General features: G+C 40.2%; 1 protein-coding gene across 5 annotated transcripts in view, besides 1 other annotated feature; it reads left to right on the top strand.

Annotated features, from left to right (window-relative positions):
• The window catches only part of TYW1 (tRNA-yW synthesizing protein 1 homolog), a 242,682-nt gene that overhangs the window by 200,969 nt on the left and 15,597 nt on the right, over window positions 1–26,116 (top strand). The window contains exon 16 of one of the 5 annotated variants that reach the window (XM_047420568.1): window positions 5,943–9,893. The exons of the other annotated variants lie outside the window; for them this stretch is intronic. Within the exon in view, the coding sequence (XP_047276524.1) occupies window positions 5,943–5,996 (54 nt within the window). The 3' untranslated portion in view covers window positions 5,997–9,893. Of the gene's footprint in view, window positions 1–5,942; window positions 9,894–26,116 lie in introns of those variants that run through there. 5 annotated transcript variants of the gene reach the window in all.
• Window positions 25,848–26,048: a silencer, noted in NCBI's record as "peak6550 fragment used in MPRA reporter construct". NCBI's record gives its function as "represses an SCP1 promoter by STARR-seq MPRAs in K562 erythroleukemia cells {active_cell/tissue: K562}" and the evidence as "EXISTENCE:reporter gene assay evidence [ECO:0000049][PMID:32103011]".

A 26,116-nucleotide genomic window follows, 5' to 3' on the forward strand; every position in this document is an offset into this window, starting at 1 on the left:
TTTCAAATTTACAAAAAAGTGCAATGATAAAAATAGAACAAAGGACATAGATTTGCAAAATCACCTGTTACCATTTTTCTGCCATTTGCTTGTTCTCTTGCTCTCTCTCTTTTGCTCCCGTTCTCTCTCGTTCTCTCTCCCTCCCTTCCCTACCCCTGCCCCCCGCCCCCGCAGCATACACGTGCACGCATCGTCTTTTCTGAACCCTTTGAGGAAATGTTGCATTGGTCATGGTCCTTTGCCCTAAATGTTTCAGTGTGAATTTCTTAAGACTAGGAATATTTTCTCTTACAACCACAATACAGTTATCAACTTCAAAATTGTAAACTGATACATGACTTTAATCTACCATCCATATTCAAATTTTGTCAGATCAGCTTGTAATGTCCTTTATAGCATTTCCCCCTCCAGTTCAGGATCTACTCTATAGGAGTCAGCCAACTTTGTTTATAAAGAAAATGTAGGCCCGGTGTGGTGGCTCATGCCTGTAATCCCAGCACTTTGGGAGGAAGGCTGAGGCGGGCAGATCACTTGAGGTCAGGAGTTCGAGACCAACCTGGCCAACATAGTGAAACTCCATCTCTAATAAAAATACTAAAATTAGCGGGGTGTGGTGGCGGGGGCCTGTAATCTCAGGTACTCAGGAAGCTGAGGCAGGAGAATCTCTTGAACCCGGGAGGTGGAGGTTGCAGTGAGTCGAGCCTGGGCGACTGCACTCCAGCCTGGGCGACAGGGTGAGACTCCATCTCAAAAAAAAAAAAAGAAGATATAAAGTAAATATTTTAATTTTTATATAAAGTAAATATTTGAGGTTTGCAAGGCACATACAGCCTCTGTCAGATATTCTTCTTTGCTTGTTTACTCATTTGCAACCTTTTAAAAATGCAAAGACTGTCCCTAAAACAGGTTTGTGAGCTAAATGTGGCCAGATTGGGCCTACCAGCCACAGTTACCCAACCCCTAATCTAGGCAGATACTATATTTTCTTCTTAAGTCTCTGTAGTCACCTTCAATTTGGAACATTTCCACAGTCTTCCTTTGTCTTTTATGATGTTGCTATTTTAAAAGAATACAGTTCCCCCCTTCCCTTTCTTTTAATAGAAATGTTTCTTGGTGAGGTGCAGTGGCTTACACCTGTAATCCTAGAACTTTGGGAGACCGAGGCAGGTGGATCCCTTGACCCCAGGAGTTCAAGACCACTCTGGGCAACATAGTGAGACTCCATCACTATTTAAAAATAGAAAAATTTCCTAGGCGTGATGGCATGAACCTGTAGTCCCAGCTACTTAGGGGACTAAGGTGGAAGGATCATCTGAGCCCAGGAGGTCAAGGCTGCAGTGACCCGTGATTATGCCATTGCACTTTATTCTGGGCAACAGAGTGAGACCATCTCAAAAAAAAAAAATAAATAAATAAAAGAAATGGTTTTTGTTTTATATTTGCCTGATTTTTCCTTGTGGCTAGATTGAGGTTGTATGTCCTCAGATGGAATACTGTGTTGGCGACGTGTCCTTTTCAGCGTGTCACACTTGGTACCCGGTGTCCACATCTCCCTCGTTAGTGGTGATGATTTTGTTCAGCCAACTACTTTGACCCAGTTCTTCTGTTTCTCTCCTTTGCACCTGATAAGCTATCTATGAAAAGGTACCTTAAGACAATGCAGTATCTCGCTTCTTACCAAAATTTCCCCATTGACTTAGCACTTATTGATGGTTCCTGCCTGATAAAATGTTTTATTGATTGTAAAATAGTGATTTTTGTAAGTGTACCACTCCTTCCACATTTGCCTTCAGCATTCTATTGTAAACAAAAGCCCTCCCTTTCCTCCCATTTATATGTTTATTTATCAGTACGGACTCAGGAATTCTACTCTTTGTCCCAGTGGGTCATTATTCATTACTGTACTGATTTTAAACCACTCTTCTAGACTCCCTGTTCCTCTCTCTCTGTCTCTCCGTTCTCTCTAATTAAATCCCTCATATCCTTATTCAAAATTGATACTAATAGTATTGCTTTCAAGGCCATTATCAACATTAAAAGTAACATATTTAAAGTACCTAGAAGGATTCCAGCCTGGGCGACAGAGCGAGAACCCATCAAGAAAGAAAGAGAGAGAGAAAGAGAAGAAGAGAAGAGAGGGAGGGAGGATGGAAGGAAAGAAGGAAGGAAAAAGAAGAAAGAAAGAACTTAGAAGGGAACCTGAAGTGAAGTAGGCAGTTAATAAATAGTTGTTACTGCTGCTTTTATTGGTCTTCCCCCACCCACAAGGAGCTCGCGGTTTAGTGGGGAAAATGACTGAAAATCAGTGTGATCAGTGCAAAACCAGACATGGCACCAAGTGTGCGCCAGGACAAAGGAGAGAATCTGAGATAGACCCTCATTATTCTCTATAATGTTTGTTGAATACCCATGTGTGTCAGGCACATGGGTATTCTGAGAATACAGAGGGCTGGGTACTCTGAGAATACAAAGATGAGTAAACAATGGTCCCTGTATTTGTCCGCTTTCACGCTGCTGATAAAGACATACCCGAGACTGGGTAATTTATAAAGGAAAAGAGGTTTAATGGACTCACAGTTCCACATGGCTGGGGAGGCCTCACAATAATGGTGGAAGGCACCTCTTACATGGTGTTAGACGAGAGAAAAGAGGGCCAAGCGAAAGAGGAAACTCCTTATAAAACCATCGGATCTCATGAGCCTTATTCACTACCACAAGAACAGTATGGGGGAAACCACCCCATGATTCAGTTATCTCCCACCAGGTCCTTCCCACAATACGTGGGAATTACGGGAACTGCCATTCAAGGTGAGATTTGGGTGGGGACACAGTCAAACCATATCAGTTCCTGCCTTCAAGAATGGGCTAACAGAAAACGACAAATATCTCAACAAAAAAAGTGCTGAGAAGTGTAATCAGAGCTATGGTGGAAGAATGGAATGGAGCTCAATGGGTGCATTCTGAGGACTACTTGGTCCCATCAGGAGAGGCTTCACAGAGGAGGCACCATTTAACTGGATCTTAAATGATGGCTGAAGTAGGAAAAACATTTAAGCAGAAACAGTACAAGCAGAGGTCCAAGGAAAAGCACGGAGACATGGCACATTGAGAACCACAAGTAGTTTGGGATGGCTGAAGGTCAAGAGAAGGGTTGCAGGGAAAGGAGATTATTAGGCAGGGTTAAGATCACAGATAGCATTGAATGGCATCCTAAATGTCATTTTCTCTATTTCCCTAAAGGGCATGGGGAGGCACTGAAGAGCTTTAGGTAGGGGAGTGCCACAGTGAAGATTTGTGTTTCAGAAAAAATTGTCTGGCAGCATTACAGGGGATGGATTGAAAAGCTGCAAGACAGAGAAACCAGTTAAAACACTGTTGCGATAGCCAGCTGTGGTGTCGTGTGCCTGTAGTCTTGGCTACTCGGGAGGCTGAGGCGGGAGACTCACTTGAGTGCAGGAATTCTAGCTCAGCCTGGACAACAGAGTGAGACCCTCCTCCATTTCTAAAACAACAACAACAACAACAACAACAACAACAACAACAAACCTGTTATAACCCTCAGGTCCAGCAACTGTTTCACCCTCAGGTCTAGCAATCTGAGGGTGAAATGGGGGTCTGAGACAAAGGCTGTGATGAATGAGAGTGGTGAGTGGTAGACCTGGCAAAGTATTAAATGAGGACCATTAACGAGTGTGCAGGTTCAGGCATGACTCCCTGGCCTCTAACCTGGGAAATGAGTGATTGTGATGGTGTCGTCCATGGAGATGATGTTACTTGCATATTTATTTTTCATGTAGGTAGAGAGTGAATGGGTTGACTCGGTGACGTCAGGAAGAAATTCCAGCAAAGATATAGATATCAAATTATGGAGTCCAGATTATGAGAAGTTGTCCTTAGAATGCCCAGAGTGAGACAGATGGTCAAGCATCCAAAATGCTTTGAAATTAATTACTTAAACACCAGATATACCCTAACGTGGAGGTTTCCAACTTGCACATTCATAGTGCTCTAGTGCCTCAATAGCTTTTTCACAAGACCTGTAGGTCAAAAGAGATACCTAGCAGTTCTATTTGTTATGACATCATTGAAAGAAGTGTGACACAGCCTAACGTTGAAACTGGGAACTATCTCAAGCTAGCAGTTGTTGAAATGCCCAACAGATGTCCAGTGTCACTGCGTTCCTCTTTAAAATTCAAGATACCCTGCAGTGTCCCAGTGAGTACTCTGTTCCCACTGCTTGGGAACCATGGCCACGAAGAAATAATACAGAAACCCATCCAAAAAGCAAAACAAGGCTCATTTAGATTCCTTCCAATTATGTGTTTTCTGGCGCTTCTTTTCCTTTTCGTTGTTGATCTCGGAGTATGCAGATCTTGTCATTTTCCAGTCATGGCCTCTGTATTCTTATACTAGTGTCTAGTGAAAGAAATGAAAATATGGTACCACTTCTTAGGAAGTAGTCACTTCTCAGGCCTGGTCCATTGGCCCTGTCTTTAAGCTCCTGAGCTGGGTCAGGTGACCTGAAACCAGAGAGGTCCGAATCATCAAATACCTGTTTATCATTCTCAGCTTTCTCAGGAGATTGCTCAATTTATTTTTTTTATTTTGGAGACAGGGTCTCATCTCGCTCTGTCACCCAGGCTGGAGTGCAGTGGCGTGAACATGGCTCATTGCAACCTCAACCTCCCAGGCTCCAGCAGTCCTCCTGCTTAAGCCTCTCGAGTAGCTGGGACTATAGGCATGAACCACCATGCCCAGCTAATTTTTAAATTTGTTATTGAGATGGGGTCCCACTGTGTTGGCCAGGCTGCTGTCAAACTCCTGGGCTCGAGCAGCCCTCCCACCTCAGCCTCCCAAAGTGCTGGGATTACAGACATGAGCCACCGTAAGCCCAGCCTCAATTTCTACTAATAATCCCGGGACTTCTGAAAGAGAGTGCAAACTGCTGCAGTCATGTTGAATGAAGGACTACTTTCCTATTCTTACACCAAGACAGCCACAAAAGAAAACTGAATACCAAGTCTTTACTTTAAAACAATTATAGATTCACAGGAAGCTGCAAAATGGTACAGAAAGGTCTCAGGTACCCTTCATGTAGTTTTCCCCAGTGATAACGTCTTACGTGATCATAGTACGTTATCAAAATCAGGAAATAGACATTGGTACAACCCATAGACCTTATTCAGATTTCACCAATTTTAAATGCATTCACATGTGTGTGTTTAGTTCTGTGCTGTTTTGTGTTTAGATTTATGTAGCCATCACCACGACCCAGATAGAAAACTGTTCTATCACCACAAAGATCTTTCTCATGCTATTCCTTTGTAGTCCGATACCAACTATCCCTAGCCTCTGGCGACCGCTAATCTCCTCCATCTCTGTAGTTTCCTCATTGGAAGAAGGATATATAAACAGAAGTTTACTCTATCTGACGATAATAGAGCCACTTCGGCTTTCTTTTGATCAGTGTTTGCATGGTATATGTTTTTCTGTCCTTTGCCTTTCAACCTGCCTGTATCATTATATTTGAAGTGTTTCTTATAGGCAACATACAGTTGTCATACTTTTTTAGTCTTCTATGCCAATCTATTTTAGAATTCCATTTTTATTTCTCTGTACTGTTGTTGAGTGCGTCTCTTCGTATAGACTTTTTAGTGGTTGATTTACATATTACATTATGCATATATAATATATCACAGTCTACTGGTGTCGGCATGTTAGCAGTTTGAGTGAAATGTGGAAACTTTACCTCTCTTAAATCTCTTTTCCCTCCCTTACTTAGAATATCTTAGGTGTTTCCTGCACCCACAGTGAAAATCACATGGCATCATATTACAATTTTTGCTTCAACTATCAAAGGTAACTTAGAAAACTCAAGAGAAGAAGAGTTTATTGTATTTACTCATATTCTTACTCCTTCTGTTGTTCGTTCTTTCTTCCAGATGGTCCAGGTTTCCTTTGGAATCTTCCCCATCTGTTTGAAGAACTTCCTTTAGCAATTCTCTTAGAGCCAGTGTGATAGCAACCAGTCCTCTTAGTTTTCCTTCATCTGCCACTGTCTTGGTTTCCTCTCCATTCCTGAAGGATGTTTTTGGCAGGTAAAGTATTCTGGATTGACAGCTCTTTTCTTTCCTTCTGGCTTCTCTGGTATCTGATGAAAAATTCTTTGTCATTTGATTGTTTTTCTCCTTTAGGTAAGATGTTTCTCTCCCTGCTTTCAAGATTTTTAAAAATATTCAGGTCTTGAGTTTTCAGAAGTTTGATTACAGGTTGCCTTGGACTGGATTTCTTTGGGTCTGTTGTTTTGGAGGCATGCTCAGCTTCCTGAATCTGCAGGTATATGCCCTTTACAAATTGGGGGAATTTCTAGTTGTTCTCCAGATACTTTTTTCAGCCTCATCTTATTTCTCTTTTCTTTTTAGATCTCTGATGACACAAATGTTAGATTTTTTTTTGTTATGGTCCCACAGGTATCTGAGGCTTTGTTTGTTTCTCTTTTAGTCTCTCTGTTTTTTAGACTCTTGTTCTAACTTTAGATTGATTCATTCTGTCTTTTTACTCTTCCATTCTGTTGAACCATTTATTATTTTAGTTATTGTATTTTTCAGTTCTAAAATTTCCATTTGATTATTTTCCTATTTCTATTTAACTATTTCTCCTTCCTCCCTCCCTTCCTTCCTTCCTCCCTCCCTTCCTTCTTCTCTTTTTTTATTTTCCTTCTTCTTCTTCCTCTTCCTCTTCCTCTTCTTCTTCTTCTTCTTTCTTCTTCCTTCTTCCTTCTTTCTTCTTCTTCTTTTCTTTTTTTTTTTGAGAGAGAGAATCTCACTCTGTCATCCAGGCTGGAATCCAATGGCACAATCTCGGCTCACTGCAACCTCCACCTCCGAGTTCAAGTGATTCTCCTGCCTCAGCCTCCTGAGTAGCTGGGATTACAGGCGTGTACCACCATGCCCAGCTAATTTTCTCATTTTTATTAGAGATGGGGTTTCACCATGTTGGCCAGGCTGGTCTTGAACTCCTGGCTTCCAGTGATCCACCCACCTCCACCTCCCTGGGATTACAGGCATGAGCCACCACGCCCAGCCAACTTTCTATTTATCATGTCCGTTTTTAATTGCCCATTGAAGCACATTTGTGATGGCTACTTTAAAATCTTAATCAGATAATACCAACGCACATACCACGTTGGCATCTTTTGATTGTCTTTTCTCATTCAAGTTGAGATTTTCCTGTTTCTTGGTATGATAAGTGATTTTCAGTTGTTTCCCAGACATTTTGGGTGTTATGTTAGGAGACTCTGGATCTTATTTATTAATAAATCTTCTGTCTTAGCCAGCCTCCTTTGACACTGCACTGTGGGGATGGCATGAGAGGGTGTTACCTCCTTACTTCCAGGGAGAGGTAAAAGTCCATTTCCCCCCTCAGCTTCTATTGACCTATTGTAGGAAGGGTGCCTTGTTACTGCCAAGTAGGGGCAGAAGTTCTGGCTCCCGTCAGCCTCCTGTGATACCATTCTGATGAGGAAGGGAGAGCCATCTTGTGACTGTTCCCCCCTTAGACTCCACTGACATTATAGGATGGAGGCGGGGGGGGGGCCTTATTGCTGCTGGGTGGTGGCAGAAGTCCTGGTTCTCCACTAAGCTTCTTCTGACACCACTCAAGTGTATGGGGGAGAGGTGCCTTGTTACTGCTAGGTGGAGTGAAAGTCCAGGCTCCCTGTGTAGTCTGTATGACATTACAGCTGGAGGGGAGGAGGAGGGCAGGATTCCCCGCTCACCTTCTCTGATACCGCCCTGGTAGTAGGAGTCAAGAAGAGTGCCTCATTATAACCAGGTGAAGGTGGGAATCTAGGTTCCCCACTCAGTATTTGCTGACCGGATGGGAATGAGGCCCGTTTTTCTCATGGCCTAGGTTGGTTATTGTCTAAAAATTTTCTGTCTTGCTAGGCTGCCCTGTTCCTGCTGTCCTAAGAGAGCAGCCTTTACTTGGGACTCTTTTTTTTTTAATCCAATAATTGTCCGCAGCCATTGGTGTTTCTGGCTTGCAGCCCAGTCCAGGATATCTGAGCCAAAAATAAAACTCAAGAAAGCCACCACCATGTTGTTCCTCAGATCCCAAGGCCCCTAGCCAGTGTGCCTTCTTATCTCTACCTTTGAGAATCTTTTTGCTTGCCTTATATGTAATATCCTCTATTTTTAGCTGTACTTAGCAGGCAGAATAGGGAGAGGCACGTCTACTCCATCTTGTCCAGAACCAGACATTATACCACTGTAGAGTTGGGGTTCACATCTCCTAGTGAACAGTAATGCCAATCCAGATGGGACTATTTGATATTGGTAGATTATTTCCAGGTGAACTCATTTTCTTTATTTAATTGAAAGGTGTCGCCCAGTTAAGGTTGTATGGCTGCTCTTGCAGTGTTACTGGAAAGAATTTCCTGACACATGAAAACATCTTTTCCTAATCCTAATCAGATCTCATCAGATCCCATTTAATAAATGGCTAGCAATTTACTCTAAGGGTACTAGTGTTGAAAAGCAGAGATGTGGCCAGGCACGGTGGCTCACACCTGTAATCTCAGCACTTTGGGACGCCAAGGCAGGTGGATCACCTTAGGTCAGGAGTTCGAGACCAGCCTGGCCAACATGGTGAAACCCCATCTTTACTAAAAATACAAAACTTAGCTGGGTGTGGTGGCTGGCACCTGTAATCACAACTACTTGGGAGGCGGAGGCAGAAGAATTGCTTGAACCTGGGAGGCAGAGGTTGCAGTGAGCCAAGATCGTGCCACTGGGCGACAAAATGAGACTCTGTCTCAAACATAAATAAATAAATAAATAAATAAATAAATAAATAAATAAATAAAATGAAGCAGAGATGTAACTAAAAGACAAGGGAAAGAAGCAGAAAAGGAGCAAAACAAACCCTAAAGACTAGAAGAATACACTAAAATGATCATACAATCCATACATAACCGAGGGCAGATATCAACTACTCAACATCTTCCTTGTTTATGCCGCTAATTCCAAGCTTATTGTTTCTCTACATTTTGGAACATGTGACATATCACATAACATGCAAGAGAAACACCTAATCATTTTATTGGATTTGTAATGGCCTTCACAATCGGTTCCTTTTTCACTTCATTTCATGCTCCCTCCCTGGGCTTTTAAACGGTACTGCCATATTCCTTCTTTCTTCTGTGCATTTATTTGCTCAAGGTATTTCTTTGGCCAGAAACGCCCTCCTTTCCCTACCCACCCCAATTCACCTTGTGTAGTTCCACTCTTTAAAATTGTAAAACAAACTTCTTTTCCTTTGAGACTACTTCTGTCAGATCTGTATGTACATATACCAAGCATGCCTCCTCCAGGAAGCTGTGAGTTCCTAGAACACCAGGACCGTTACTCCCAGTACTTTCTAGAGTAACTGGTACATATCAGATTCTCCGTGTGCTTAGTGGATCAATAGCCCCCTTTCCTTCATCCGCTTTCCTTTCTCATTGTCTTCCCTTCTGGAATCAGAAACTTTGTTCCATCTTCTTTGCTAGTTTTGGTACCTACCAACCTTCTTCCTTATCATTCATTCACTCCATTTATTCAGTAAATATTTACCAGGCTGAGTTTGCTATTTTGTATGTCATCAGTGACCTGCTAATTGTTAAATCCAGTGACCTTTTCTCATTCACCATACCTTCCTTTTTCTGCAGCAGGAAACTGATGCCATCCATGCTTGGTGAAAGTCATCCCTATCTACTGTACTGTACTTTTTTGATTATAGTAAAATTGGCTAGCAGAAATAAGAATATTGTTACAAAGTAGAACATTGAAAATTCCCCAGTTGTGACATTTGTTTATCTACTTCACAAATTTTGTTTGCCTTTTTTTTTTTTGGAGATGGAGTCATTTTGTTTGCCTTTTTTTTTTTTTTTTTTTTGGAGATGGAGTCTTGTTCTGTCTCCCAGGCTGGAGTGCAATGGCACAATCTTGGCTCACTGCAACCTCTGCCTCCCAGGTTCAAGTGATTCTCCTGCCTCAGCCTCCTAAGTAACTGGGACTACAGGTGCCTGACACCATGCCCAGCTATTTTTTGTATTTTTAGTAGAGATGGGGTTTTACCATGTTTGGCAGGCTGGTCTTGAACTCATGACCTCAAATGATCCACCTGCCTCGGCCTCACAAAGTGCTGGAATTTTAGGTGTAAGCCACTGCACCCAGCTCACTTCACAAATTTAAAATACCCTCTGGCTGGTGTGGTGGCTCACATCTGTAATCCCAGCACTTTGGGAGGTGGAGGTGGGAGGGTCACTTGAGGCCAGGAGTTTGAGACTAGCCTGGGCAATGTAATGAAACCCCATCTCTACAAAAATTAGCCAGATGTGGTGGCGTGTGCCCATGTAGTCCCAACTACTTGCGAGGCTGAGGCAAGAGGATCGCTTGAGCCTGGGAGACAGTGGTTGCAGTGAGCAGAGATTGTGCCACCGCACCCCAGCCTGGGGAACAGAGCCAGACCTTGTCTAAATAAAATAAAATAACAAAACATACCATCTGATTCATGATACCACATAATCCAAAATGTAAAGTGATTCTTTTAAAAAAAACCCACAACCATCGGGCGCGGTGGCTTACGCCTGTAATCCCAGCACTTTGGGAGGCCGAGGTGGGCGGATCATGAGGTCAGAAGTTCGAGACCAGCCTGGCCAATATGGTGAATCCCCATCTCTACTATAAATACAAAAATTAACCAGGCGTGGTGGCGCGTGCCTGTAGTCCCAGCTATTCAGGAGGCTGAGGCAGGAGAATCGCTTGAACCCGTGAGGCGGAGGTTGCAGTGAGCCGAGATCGCGCCACTGCACTCTAGCCAGGGCAACAGAGTGAGACGCTGTCTCAAAAAAAAAAAAAAAAAAAACCACAACATTCTAGAGGGATCCCAGACATCAGTTGAATATTTACATTTACATGACCTTTAAAGATCCCGCATTAAATTTGTAAGATTTTCACAACATGATATAGCCTCTGGAGAGTGTCTTATGATCTGTATCACCCTATTCATACCTGGAATACTTTGTGGTCGTTGGCAGTGCAGTGATATTGTCATTGTCATATTCTATGCCACATGCGAATCATTTCTTAATTGTAGTGAAATATTTTTGAAAATGGATGATTTATTTAAATATCCTTCTGAGTTTTGTCATGTAGATATTATGTCAGAGTCTAGAGAGTGGAGCTTCTGCATTTGATAAGAGGCAGGCTACTTAGTGGCTAGGATAGTAAGTATGACTTTCAGTGGCAAAGACCGCAATTACTTTTGCACCAACATAATAGAAGGGTGCAGAAAGCTCAATGACCTTGGCTTTGAGCAGCGGAAAGACAAATCCCACTCACATTCAGGTAAATGAGCCTGCATGTTTTAGTTTCAGGGTTGAGCTAGAGGGACAAGGAGATGACCACAGTTGCCTACAGGGGAGGGTGGGCCTCTGTGCTTTGGAGGGGGTGGCTGGGAGAAGGTGGTACAGTCAGCTGTTTCTGGGCTTTCAGCCTAGCAGCTTAAATGTAACCTTGGTCCTATCAGTCTGGAAATTAATTAGACCATGACAATCCAAGAAGCTTTGATAATTTTAGTGCAGAAACACTGAAATTCCCTCCACATATTGGCAACATCCTAGTACAGCGGGTCACAGGCCAGTGGAAGCTGAGTGATAAGTGATATATATGGCTTGCAGAATCCACATAGCAGTGTTTCAAAACTTCATTCTTCCTGTAAAATTTTTTTAAATTTTTTTATTTTTTGAGACAGAGTCTTACTCTGTCACCCAGATTGGAGTGCAGTGGCGCGATCTCAGCTCGCTGCAACCTCCATCTCCCGGGTTCAAGCAATTCTCCTACCTCAGCCTCCTGAGTAGCTGGGATTACAAGCGCACGCCACCACGCCCGGCTACTTTTGTATTTTTAATAGAGACAGGGTTTCACCATGTTGGCTAGTCTGGTCTTGAACTCCTGACCTCAAGTGATCCACCCGCCTTGGCCTCTCAAATTGCTGGGATCACAGGCATGAGCACTGCACCTGGCCAATTATTTTTTTTTTCAATAGACTTTATGTTTTACAGAAGTTTTTGATTTACAGAAAAATTGAGACTGTATTATGGAGAGTTCCCATATACCCTAGATTTGTCCTATTAGCATCTTACGTTGGTGTGGTACGTGTGTTACAATTCGTGAGCCAATATTGATTTGTGATTGTTAACTGAAGTCCACAGTTTATTTAGATTTCCTTAGGTTTTACCTAATGTCCTTTTTCTGTTCTAGGATCCCATTACATTTAGTTGTCAATTCTCTTTAGGCTCCTCTTGGCGTGGCAGTTCTCAGACTTTCCTTATTTTTGATGACCTTGATAGCTTTGAGGGGTACTCGAGGGATTTTGTGGAATGCCCTATTATTGAAATTTGTCTGATGTTTTTCTCATGAGACTTGGGTTATGAATTTTTAGGAGGAAGATCACTGAGGTGAAGTGCCATTTTCATCACATCATGTCAAGGGCACGCACCTACTGCCAGCATGGCTTATGACTAACAATGCTGACCTCGATCCTCCAACTGAGGCAGTATTTGTCAGGTTTCTCCACTGTCAAATTACTGCATCTGCTCCTGCTTTTCATACTGTGCTCTTTGGGAGGAAATCACCGTGTGTGGTCCATATCCAAGGGGCGTAGTGTTAGGCTCCCCGTCCTTGAGGGCAGAGTATCTATGTAAGTTATTTGGAATTCTTCCACACCGAAGGTTTGTCCCTTCTCCCTCATTTATTAACGTATTCAGTCATATATCTGTATCACCATCTCTGTCTTTCCATCCTTCTGTGCATCCATCCATCCGTCATCTGTCTATCCATCCATTCGTCCATCCATCCATCCATTCATCATCTGTATGTCCATCAGTCATCTGTCATCTGTTTGTCTGTCGTCTGTCCGTCCATCCATCCATCCATCCGTCCATCATCTGTCTGTGTCTATCTGTCCAGCTAATCTCTGTCTATTCATCCATCTATCAATCCATCCATCCACCTTCTATCATCTATCTATCCATCTGTCCATCCATCTATCCATCTGTCCATCCATCTATCCAACCATCCATCCATCCATCCATCCATCATCTGTCTGTCTGTCTTTCTGTGTCTGCCTGCCTGCCTGTCTGTCTATGTGTCTATATCAGTGTGAATGCATGAATATTTATTTTTTACCTAGGGTTATAATCCAGTACTACCTTATTTCTTTTGTTGCTCAAATTGTCCCAGCTTTGGCCATTCGGATCTCTTTCAGTTGGCTCCTGTGTTACTTTGCCATACCCCCATCAACATTGTGTGTGTGTGTGTGTGTGTGTGTGTGTGTGTGTGTGTGTTTTGAGCACTTTCTTTCTGGCACTACAAGATTCTCCAGGATTATCTCACACACAGATGGTCCCAACTTACAGTGGTTCAACTTGCAGTCTTTTGACTTTATGATAGTGTGAAAGCGATACAAATTCAGTGGAAACTGTACGTATGCTGCCATGCTGGGCACTGGCAGTAAGCCGCAGCTCTCAGTCAGCCACGTGTTTTTGACTTATTATGGGTTTATCAGGACATAACCCCATTGTAAGTTGAGGAGCATCTGTATTTTCTGCCTCAGCCATGGTTTATTGGAGAATGGTGTTAGAAATCAAGCTCTGGGGAAGGTATGCTCATTGTTGGGCTGTCTTTTTAGGCCTTCTCAGCTGACAGAGCAGAGAAATACATGTGTGTATCCACATTTCTATATTTCTGTCTATACCTATATTCAAGTGAACACACTGATGTCTCTAATCCATCTCCCCATGGGTCATTCTAGCCTCCTCCCCTTGCTCATCTGTAAATTCCCAACCCAACAGTGAGAGACCTGGCTCCCACCCTCAGCCATCCATTTACTTCACTATTCGACTGCAGTGTATATAGCGGCGTTGGAGTTGTTAACCCTGGAGCACAGCGCTATGTGCAGTTCCTTTTGCCTCTAGTCTTGCAGACTCCACCCGTTTCCAAAATGACTTAGGTCAGCGTCTTTCCCCCTCTATGCCCTTCAGCGAGATTATTTCATACATTTGTAATAGAATTCCATTCTCTTATCACAGTCTTCACTCCTTCCTGGGATCTCCTAACTTCTGCATTTAAAAAAATTTGCATACATTAAGATTCAGCATTTCAGCTATAAAATGCTATAGATTTTGACAAGTGCATAATGTCATACATTTACCATGACAGTATCACTTAGAATAATTTTCTGCCCTAAAAATGCCCCTGCACTTCCTCTTTTCGTCCCTCCCGCCAAACTTGGAACTGCTGGCAGCCACTGATTATTGTTCTATATTTATAGTTGTGCCTCTTCCAAGGGTCATATAATGGGAAGTATATACTATGTAGTTTTATCAAACTGGCTTCTTTCTTTTTTTTTTAACCTTTTTTTTTTTTAACTTAGCAATATGCATTTAAGATTCTTTCGTGCATTTTCCTGGCTTGATAGCTCATTTTTTTTTTTTATTGGCAAATAAAACTCCCATTGTGTGGATGTACCACAGTTGGTTTATTCATTCACCTATTGAAGGACATCTTGGTTGCTTCCAGTTTGGGACAATTATGAACAAAGCTGCTATAAACATTAATGCACAGGTTTTTGTGTGAATATGTTTTCAAATTAGTTGGGTAAATATCTAAATGCAATTGCTGGATCATATGGTAGGATTATGTTAAGTGTTGTAAAAAACTGTCTTCCAAAGTAGCTGTGCCATTTTGCATTCCCACCATTGATGAATGGCTGTTCCTGTTGCTATACATCCTTGCCAGAATTTGGTGTATATCACGGTTTTTTTGTTTTTTTTTGTTTTTTTTGAGGTTTAGCTATTCTAATAGATTTGTAGTGGCATATTGCTGTTGCTTTAATTTGAAATTTTCTGATGACAAATAATGATGAGCATCTTTTCATATGCTTATTTGCCATCTGTGTATTTTGTATTATGATGTGTCTGCTCAGATCTTGTGCCCATTTTTTAATTAGGTTGGTTTATTTTTATTTATTTATTTTTTTATGTTTTGAGACAGAGTTTTGCTCTTGTTGCCCAAGCTGGAGTGCAATGGCGAGATCTCAGCTCACTGCAACCTCTGCCCCCCAGGTTCAAACGATTCTTCTGCCTCAGCCTCCCAAGTAGCTGGGATTACAGGTGCCACCACACCCAGCTAATTTTTTGTATTTTTAGTAGAAACAGGGCTTCACGATGTTAGCCAGGCTAGTCTCGAACTCCTGACCTCAGGTGATTCGCCCTCCTCAGCCTCCAAAGTGCTGGGATTACAGGTATGAGCCACCACGCCCGGCCCTTTTTTTTTTTAAGAGACAAGGTCTCACTCTGTCGCCCAGGCTGGAGTGCCATGACACAGTCATGGCTCACTGCAGCCTCTAATTCCTGGGCTAAGGGGATCCTCCCACCTCACTCTCTTAAGTAGCTGGGACTACAGGTTCATGCCACTGTGCCTGGCTTATTTTTAGTTGAGACGGGGTTTCATTTTGTTGCCTAGGCTGGTAGTTGGTTATTTTCTTATGGCTGAGTTTAAGAGTTCTTTATATATTTTGGATGCAAATTGTTTAGCAGATATGTATTTTGAAAATATTTTCTCTTAGTCTGTGGTTTGACTCTTCATTCTCTTAATTATGCCCTTCTCAGAGCAAATGTTTTCAATTTTAATAAAGTCCAACTGACTAATTTTTTGTCATGGATCCTACTTTTGATGGTGTATCTAAAAATTCATTGTGACATTCAAGGTCACCTAGATTTCCTCCCATGCTATTTTCTAGAAGTTTTATGTTTTATGGTTAAGTCTGTGATCCATTTTGAAAGAGATAAGTTAGATCTGTATCTAGATTTATCTTTCTTGCATGTGGACATCCAATTGTTAAAGTACCATTTGTTGAAAAGGTTATCATTTCTTCATTAAATTACCTTTGCTCCTTTGTCAAAGATGAGTTGACTGTATTTGTGTGAATCTATTTCTGGCCTTTCTATTCCACTGCATTGATCTATGTGTCTGTTCTTTCCCCAATACCATGCAGTCTTGATTTCTGTAACTTTATAGTAAGTTTTGAAGCTGAGTAGTGTCACTCTTCTAACTTGTTCTTCTTCACTATTATGTTGGCTATTCTAGATCCTTTCCCTTTCCATATAAACCTCAGAATCAGTTTGTCAATGTCTACAAAATCACTCTCTAGGATTTTGATTGGGATTGCCCTGAATCTACAAACCCATTTGGGAAAAACTGACAGCTATATTGAGTCTTCTAATCCGTGAACATGGAATATCCTCCCATTTACTGAAATATGCCTGATTTTTTTTAATCAGACTTTGTTTTCTACATATATATATCCTGTATATGTTTTGTTAGATTTATATTTCAATTTTTGATGCTAATGTAAACATGATTGTTTGGAATTTCAAATTCCAGTTGTTCCTTGCTAGTATATAGGAAAGCAATTAATTTTATATATATATTAACTTTGTGTCTTACAACCTTGCTATAATCACTTGTTAGTTCCTAGAGGGCTTTGTTTTTCATTGATTCTTTGGGATCTTCTACATGTATAATCATGTCATCTGTACACAGAGAGTTTTATTTCTTCCTTCCTAATCTGTATATCTTTTATTTCCTTTTCTTGTCTTATTGTATTAGCTAGGACTTCCAGTATAATCTTGAATAGGAATGGTGAGAGGGGACATCCTTGCCTTATTAAGATCTTAATGGGGGAATATCTAGCTTCTCACCATTAAGTATGATGTTAGCAGAAGGCTTTTTGGTATATATTATTTATTAGGTTGAGAAAGTTCCCTTCTGTTTCTAGTTTGCTGAGGGTTTTTAATCATAAATCAGTTACAATTTTGTCAAATTGATTTTCTTCAACTATTGATAAGATCATGTGATTTTTTTTTTTCTTTAGCCTATTGATATGACAGATTACATTAATTGATTTTTGAATGTTGAACCAGTCTTCCCTACCTGGAATAAGTCCCACTTGGTCATGGCATATAATTCTTTTGATACATTGTTAGATTTGATTTGCTAACATTTTATTGATTTTACATCTGTGTTTATGGCAATTATTGTTCTGTGGTTTTCCTTTCTTGTAGTATCTTTATCTCATTTTGGTATCAGGGTAATGCCAGTCTCATAGAATGGGTTAGGAAGTGTTTCCTCTGCTTCTATTTTCATGAAGGTACTGCAGAGAATGGATGTTATTCCTTTCTTAAATGTTTGGTAGGATTCACCAGTGAACCCACCTAGGACAAGGAACTAGGAAACTATCAGGCCACTCCTCACCTCCACCTGTCTGTCTGTCTTCCTCCACCTGTTTATCCCTTCCTCCTTCCTCTCTGGGCTCTTTTTGCATTTTAATTTTTCAAATCACCTGCTGTAGACCCACATTAGCTCAAGCACCCACCCCCACTTGACGCAGTCACAAGTCCCAAATTCTCAAGACAAAATTAACCTAGGTTAACTCTTAACAGCCCCTTCCCTTTGATCCAGTTGAGTAGCCCACTCTTACTTGTAATAACTCCTCAGGCTATTAAACTTACTAAAGCCATTACTGGACAAAATGAATTTTTCTTCATGTTTCTTCCAGTTCATTTACTTTTTAAAAGTTCTTCTGCATAAACCTGCTTTTCAGCCTCATTGAGAGCTCTGGCCTCAAGACACCTCCACTCTTCCTGTCACCTCTCCCTTTTCTGTACAACTTTTCCTGCATATTTTGGATTTTGTTGTGTAATATTTTACTTGGTATGTGTATTAGTCAGGGTTCTGTTAGAGGGATAGAACTAATAGGGGAGTTTATTAAGTACTAACTTACACGATCACAAGGTCCCACAATAAGCTGTCTGCAAGCTGAGGAGCAAGGAGAGCCAGTATGAGTCCCAAACCTGAAGAACTTGGAGTCCGATGTTCGAGGGCAGGAAGCATCCAGCATGGGAGAGAGATGTAGGCTGGGAGGCTAGGCCCGTCTCTCCTTTTCATGTTTTTCTGCCTGCTTTATATTCACTGGAAACTGATTAAATTGTGCCCACCACATTAAGGGTGGGTCTGCCTTCCCCAGCCCACTGACTCAAATGTTAATCTCTTTTGGCAACACCCATACAGACACACCCAGGATTAATACTTTGTGTCCTTCAGTACAATCAAAGTTGACACTCAATATTAACCATCATGTTCGAATCTGTCCTCATGAGATTAATCTGTTCTTTTTCCTTTCTGTACTGTCCTTATCTACCTTGGACTTAAGGTAATATTCAGCTCATAATAGGAGATAGGGAGTGTTTTCTTTCTTTTCCCTGAAGTTGCTTGTTCTTTGAAGTCATCTAGGGCTGCTGCCTTCTATAGATAATTTTTTTCTTTAATGGATATAATATGATGCAAGTTTTTCTCCTTGAATCATTTTTTGTAATGTGTATTTTTCTAGAATATTGTGCATTTCATCTAAGTTCTCAAAATCTTGGCAAAAGTTACTTACGATTTTCTCTAAGATAAAAAATTTCAAATCTGTAATCCTATCATTGTCACTATTGGTCTCATCTCATCTTTTCTTAATTGTCTTGCCCAGAGGTGTGTCTAGTTCAGCCGAGATCGGGTGCGTTCAGGGTGGTACCGCCATAGACGAGGTGTGTCTATTTCAGTGTGTTTACAAAGAACCAGCATTTGGAATTTTTGCTTATTTCTCTTGTTTGCTATTTCACTAGAATGCTGTTTATTTTTATTGTTTCTTTCCTTCCTACTTTCTCTGAAATGACTCTGTTATTTTTCTATCTTGAGTTGATTACGTTGCTCATAATATTTTACTCTACCTCTTTTTTTCTCTAAGCTAACATGGGCATTTGGGGCCATAACTTTCCCTTTAGGTACTACTTTAGCTGCATCCCACAAATTTTGCCCTATAGAACTTTTCTTGTCATTGAGATCTAAGTTTGTTACAATTTCCATCATGATTTCTTATTCAATCTATGAATTATTTAGTAGTATTTTTTAATCTGTCATATGAATATTTTTCATTATTTTGATTTGAATTTTATTGCATTTTATTCATATGTAGTGGTCTGCCTTATATTTATCTGGAGTATTTTTTGAGACTGGTTATGTGGCTTGGTGTGCAGATAATTTTATCAATACTCTGAGTTCTTATTGTAGTTTTGACTTATATTTGCCTAATAAGTGATGCTGAGCACTTTTTTTTCTGTGCTTATTGTCCATTTCTATATCTTCTTTGGAAAAGAATTGGGATTTTGTTGTTGTTGTTGTTGAGTTTTAGGCATTCTCTATATATTTTGGGTAGTATCCCTTACCAGATACATCATTTGCAATTTTTTTCCCCATTTTCTGAGTTGCCTTTTTACTCTGTTGATACTGCCTTTTGATGCATGCCTTTTAAATTTTTTCATAAAGTCCAGTTTGTCTATTCTTTCTTTTCTTGCCTATTCTCTATACCCACGAAATCACTGCTATATTCAATGTCATGAAGCTTTTGCCATATGTTTCCTTCTAAGAGTCTTATAGTTTTAAGTCTTATGTTTAGGTCTTTGATCCATTTTGAGTTAATTTTTGCATGTGGTGTTAGATAAGGGTCCAGCCTCATTGCTTTGCATGTAGTGTTTTTCCAACACCATTTGTTAAGGATGCTGTCCTTTCCCCATTGAGTAGTCTTGGCACCCTTGTCAAAGATAATTTGACTATATTTGTTAGGGTTTATTTCTGGGCTCTCTATTCCATTGTTCTACATGTCTGTCTTTATGCCAGTATCACACTGTTTTGATTATTATAGCTTTGTTGTAAGTTTTGAAATCAGGGAGTGTGAGTCCTCCAGTTTTGTGTTTTTTCTCAAGATTGTTTTGGCTATTAAGGGTCCCATGAGAATCCATATGAATTTTAGGATAGATTTCTATTTCTACAAAAAATGTTTTTGTTATTTTGATAGATATTGTATTGGATATGTAGATAACTTTGGGTAGTGTTGATGTCTTTTTTTTTTTTTTTTTTTTTTTTTTTGAGACAGAGTTTTTCACTCTTGTCACCCAGGCTGGAGTGCAATGATGTGATCTTGGCTCACTGCAACCTCTGCCTCCCGGGTTCAAGTGATTCTCCTTCCTCAGCCTCCCAAGTAGCTGGGATTACAGGCACCTGCCACCATGCCCGTCTAATTTTTGTGTTTTTAGTAGAGATGGGATTTCACCATGTTGGCCAGGCTGGTCTCGAACTCCTGACCTTAGGTGATCTCCCTGCCTTGGCCTCCCAAAATGCTGGGATTACAGGTGTGAGCCACCATGCCCGGCCAGTGTTGACATCTTAATATTAAATCTTTCAATCCATGAACATGGGATGTATTTCTATTTATTTATGTGTTCTTTACTTTCAGTAATATTTTATACTTTTCATTGTACAAGTCTTTCATCTCTTTGGTTAAATTTAATTTGAAGTATTTTATTATTTTTGATGCTATTGTATTTTTAATTTTGTTTTATTTATATTTATTTATTTTTTTTTTTTGAGATGGAGTCTCGCCCTGTTGCTCAGGCTCTAGTGCAGTGGCATGGTCTCAACTTGGTGCTACTTCCACCTCTGAGACTCAAGAGATCCTCCCACCTCAGCCTCCTGAGTAGCTGGGACTACAAGTGCATGCCATCACAACTGGCTAATTTTTGTATTTTTTTAGAGACAGGGTTTTACCATGTTGACCAGACTTACCTCAAACTCCTGAGCTCAAGCAATCTGCCCACCTCGGCCTTCCAAAGTGTTGGGATTACAGGCATGAGCCACCACTCACTATGGTGGCTATTGTTTATGAACCTGTTTTTGTTTTTGTTTTTTCTTTTCAGATTGTTCATTATTAGTATGTGGAAATGCAGCTGATTTTTGCATGTTAACTTTGTATCCTGCCACTTTGCTGAATTCCTTTATTAGTTTAAACAGTTTTTTGGTTGAATCTTTATAATTTTCTACATATAACATCATATCATTTAAAAACAAAAATTGTTTTACTTTTTCCTCTCCAATTTGGATACCTTGTATTTCTTCTTCTTACCTAATTGCTGTGATGAGAACTTCCATTATTATTTTGAACGAAAGTAGTGAAGATGGTCATCCTTGCCTTGCTCTATTTTAGAGGAAAAGCTTTCAGTGTTTTACTATTGAGTATGATATTCACTGTAGGTTTTTTCATATGTGGCTTTTATTATGTTAAGATAGTTTCCAGCTATTCCTTCTTTGTCGAGTGTTTTTATCATGAAAAACGCGAAAGGGTGTTGTTTTGTCAGATGCCTTTCCTGCATTAATTGAGATGATCATGTGGTTTTTGTCCTTCATTCTATTAATGTGGTATATTACATGGATCCATCCTTGCATTCCAGGGTTAAATCCCACTTGTCCAGGGCATATAATTCTTTTAATATGCTGCTGAATTTGGCTTGCTGGTGTTTTGAGGATTTTTGTGTCAGTATTCAAAAGTGATATTCATATACAGTTTTCTTCCAGTACGATCTTTGTCTGGCTTTGGTATCAGGATAATGCTGACCTCACTGAATGAGTTGAAAGTATTCCCTCCTCTTCAGTGTTTTGGAAAAGTTTGAGAAAGATTGGTGTTAGTTCTCTTTTAAATGTTTTGTAGAATTCACAAGTGAAGCCATCAGGTCCAGGGCTATTCTTCGTAGGGAGATCTTAAATTACTGATTTAATCTCCGTAATAGTTATAAGTCCAATCAGATTTTCTATTTCTTTGTGACTTAGTCTTGGTAGATTTCATGTTTCTAGGAATTTGTCTGTTTCATCTAGGTTATCCATTTGTTGGCGTACCATTGTTTATAGTACACTCTTACAGTTTTTTTTTTTAAATGCAGAATTGGTAGCAAAATCATTTCTGATTTTGGTAATTCGAGTCTTATTTCTCTCCTTTTAAAAATTCATCCAGCTAAAGGTTTGTCAATTTTGTTGATCTTTTAAAAGAACCAGCTTTGGGTTTTGTGGGTTTTTTTTTTTTTTTTCTATTCTCTATTTTGTTAATCTCTGCTCTAATCTTTATTATTTCCTTCTGCTAGCTTTTGGTTCAGTTTGTCCTGTTTTTAGTTCCTGAAGTTTTGAAGTTAGGTTGTTGATTTGAGGTCTCCTTTTTTAAAAATCAGTGTTTATAGCTATAAGTTCTTACCTTAGCATTGCTTTCACTGTGTCCCATACGTTTTGATATGTGGTGGTTTCATTTTCATTAGTCTGTAAGCATTTTCTAATTTCCCTTGTGATTTCTTCTGTGATCCATTGGTAATATTTAGGGGTGTGTTGCTTAATCTCTACAAATTTGTGAATTTTTTAGTTTCATTCATTTATTGATTTTTTTTTTTTTTTTTTTTGAGATGGAGTCTGGCTCTGTCACCCAGGCTGGAGTGCAGTGGCGCGATCTCAGCTCACTGCAAGCTCCGCCTCCCGGGTTCATGCCATTCTCCTGCCTCAGCCTCCCGAGTAGCTGGGACTACAGGCGCCTGCCACCATGCCTGGCTAATTTTTTGTATTTTTAGTAAAGATGGGGTTTCACCGTGTTAGCCAGGATAGTCTCGATCTCCTGACCTCGTGATCCGCCTGCCTTGGCCTCCCAAAGTGCTGGGATTACAGGCCTAAGCCACCACGCCTGGCCTCATTTATTGATTTTTAACTTCATCCCATTGTTCTTGGAGAATATGCTTTGTATGATATCTATGTTGTTGAATCTAGGCCTAATTGGTAGCCTAACTTACCGCCTTTCCTGGAAAATGTCCCATGTGTACTTGGGAAGGATGTGTATTCTGTTGTTGTTAGGTACAGTGTTCTGTGTGCCTGTTAAATCAAGTTGGCTTATCGTGCCCTTCAAGTGCTTTATTTTCTTTCTTTCTTTTTCTTTTTTTTTTTTGAGACGGAGTTTTGCTCTTGTTGCCCAGGCTGGAGTGCAATGGCGCGATCTCGGCTTGCCACAACCTCCACCTCCCAGGTTCAAGCGATTCTTCTGCCTCAGCCCCCCGAGTAGCTGGGATTACAGGCATGTGCCACCATGCCCAGCTAATTTTGTATTTTTAGTAGAGATGGGGTTGGTCAGGCTGGTCTTGAACTCGGGACCTCAGGTGATCCACCTGCCTTGGCCTCCCAAAGTGCTGGGTTTACAGGTGTGAGCCACCGCGCCCGTCCAAGTGCTTTATTTTCTTGCTTATCTTTCTCTGGTTGTTGTATCTATGAATGAGAATGAGGTATTGAAGTCTCTGAGTATTGTTGTAGAATTGTCATTTCTCCTTTCAATTATATCAATATCTGCTTTGTATATGTTGATTATCTGTTATGAGCTGCCTAAATGTTTATAATAGTTATATGTTCTTGCTCTGTTGAACCTTTTATCAATATGTAATATTTTTCTTTGTTTCATAACCTTTTTAATTCAAAGTCTTATTTTCTTTGATATTAGTAGAGCCGCTCCTGCTGTCTTTGGGTTACTCTTTGCATGGAATACCTTTTTCCATCCTTTCCCTTTCAATCCACTTGTATCTTTGGGTTCAAAGCGAATCTATTGTAGATAGCATAGAATGGGATCATATCTTTTTGTTTATTCTACCAATCTGTGTCTTTGGATGGGAGGGTTTAATTAATATTCATCGAAAATAATGACCGATATGGAGGGATTTACTTCTGTCATTTTGTTATTTCTCATATGCCTTACAGCTTTTTTGTCTCATTTTCTGAATATTGTCTTCTTTGTGTTGAGTTGATTCTTTGCAGTGAAACATTTAAATTACCTTTTCATTTCCTTTTGTGTAGATGCTGTAGCTATTCTCCTTGTGCTTACAATGGACATCGCATTTAACATTCTAAAGTTTTAATACTCTAATTTTAATTTATACCAGCTTAACTTCAACAGCATACAAAACTATGTTCCTTTACAGCTCTGTTCCCACCCATTTCAGTTGTTGATGTCACAGAATAACACCTTTTTGATACATTGTGTGCCCCAAAACATAAACTAATACTTGTCTTTTTTTTTTTTTTTAAACACATTAGTGTGTTAACATAGAAAACAAAACATAGAGGCTGGGTGTGGTGGCTGACGCCTGTAATCCCAGCACTTTGGGAGGCCGAGGTGGGCAGATCATCTGAGGTCAGGAGTTCAAGACCAGCCTGGCTAAATGGCAAACCCCCATCTCTACTAAAAATACAAAAATTGTCCAGGCATTGTGGTGGGCGCCTGTAATCCCAGATACTCGGGAGGCTGAGGCACGAGAATTGCTTGAACCTGGGAGGTGGAAGTTGCAGTGAGCTGAGATCGCACCACTACACTCCAGTCTGGGCAACAGAGCGAGACTCCATCTCAAAAAAATAAAAAGAAAAGAAAAAAATATAGAGTTACAAAACAAAGCTGTAACAATCAATTTTATATTTGCCCATATATTTACCTTTACTATGATCTTTACTTCTTCATGCAGCTTCAAATTACTGTCTAGTGCCCTTTCATTTCAACCTGCAGGACTCCATTTAGCATTTCTTACAGGGAAGATCTAGTAGATTGATGAACTCCCTCAGCTTTTGTTTATTTGGAAATGTCTTATTTCCTTCCTCGTGTTTTGCCAGTATAGGATTCCTGGTTGACATTTTTTTTCTTTCAGCACTTTAAACATTATTAGCTTTCTGAGCTCCAAAATGTCTGATTAGAAATCTTCTATGACCTTATTAAGTATACCCTGTGTGTGTGACAAGTCACTGCTCTCTTGCTGCTTTCAAGATTCTCTGTCTTTGACTTTTGACAGTTTGATTATAATGTGTCTTGGTGTGTGTCTTTTTTAGTTCATTATCCTTGGAGTTCCTTGAACTTCTTCAATGTTTATATTTATGTCTTTCATTAAATTTAGGGAAAATTTTGACCATTATTTCTTCAAGCATTCTCTCTGTCGTCTTCTGTCTCTCTCCTTCTGAGATTGCCACGTGCAAATGTCAGTTCACTTGATGGTGTTCATGGTCCCTTAATCTCTGTTCGCTTTTTTTCTTTTTTTTTTTTTTTTTTTGCTATTCGGACGTGATCATTTCCATTGTCCTGTTTTCAGGTTCACTAATCCTTCTGCCTGTAGAAATATGCCTTTGAATTCTTCTAATGAATTTTTCATTTCAGTTATTACACTTTTTAGTTCCAGAATTTCTTTTTGGTTTCTTTTTAGGTTTTCTATGCCTATTGATATTTCTATTTTGTTCATATGTCCTTTTCTTGACTTTTCCCACATATTCCTGTAGTTTTTAGAGCATCTTTAAGATCGCTGTTTTAAAGTCTGTTTCTAGTGGATCTGCCATCTACCCTTTCTCAGGGTGAGTTTCTGTTGGATTTGTAGTTTTCTTTTGGATGGACCGTATATCACTGTTTCTTTGTGTGCCTTGTGATTTTCTTGTTGAAAACTGGACATTTGTATCTTATCATGTGGCCACTGTGTGAATCAGATTCTTTGCCTCTCAGTGTTTTCTGGAGTTTTGTTTTGTTTTGTTTGATTATTGAAGGCTGTCTCTGTGCCAAGGATCAGCCCGAGGTATGAACTTAAAGTCTTTTCAGTTCTCTTTGAAGACTGTACCTTTCCCTGGGCATCCATGGTAACTATAATTTCCCTATAAATATGTTTATTTTTTAATGTCTTAGTCTTTAATGTACACCTCCCAAAGGTGGGAAAGAGAAAAGTGAAAGAGTAGGGATGGGGGAAGCACTGGCCCTTGAAGTCCCCAGGGAGTCACTTAAGCTAGACAGGGAGGGGCTTGGCACCCTGACTGGCTGCCTCTATTCCACCCTTCCATGACAAGAACACAGATCCTTAATATTTTGAAGACAGTGTTCTTATTGCCTATCCTGGCTCTTAGAAGCTGCATGCAAGCTGCTCCCATAACATGTACACAGCTGCCTGCCATGGGGCTGAGTCATCGGGGACTGGTAGCGGCTTTGGAGCTAAGAGCAGAGATTGACTGAAAATAACTGCAATTTACTGTCAAGCCTTCCCCTGAATGTTACAAGCCTTCAATAGACTCCAGAGTTCCAAAATAGTTACATCAGACAAATTCTG

Source organism: Homo sapiens, chromosome 7, assembly GCF_000001405.40.
Source record: "Homo sapiens chromosome 7, GRCh38.p14 Primary Assembly".
Classification (NCBI taxonomy): Eukaryota; Metazoa; Chordata; class Mammalia; order Primates; family Hominidae; genus Homo; species Homo sapiens.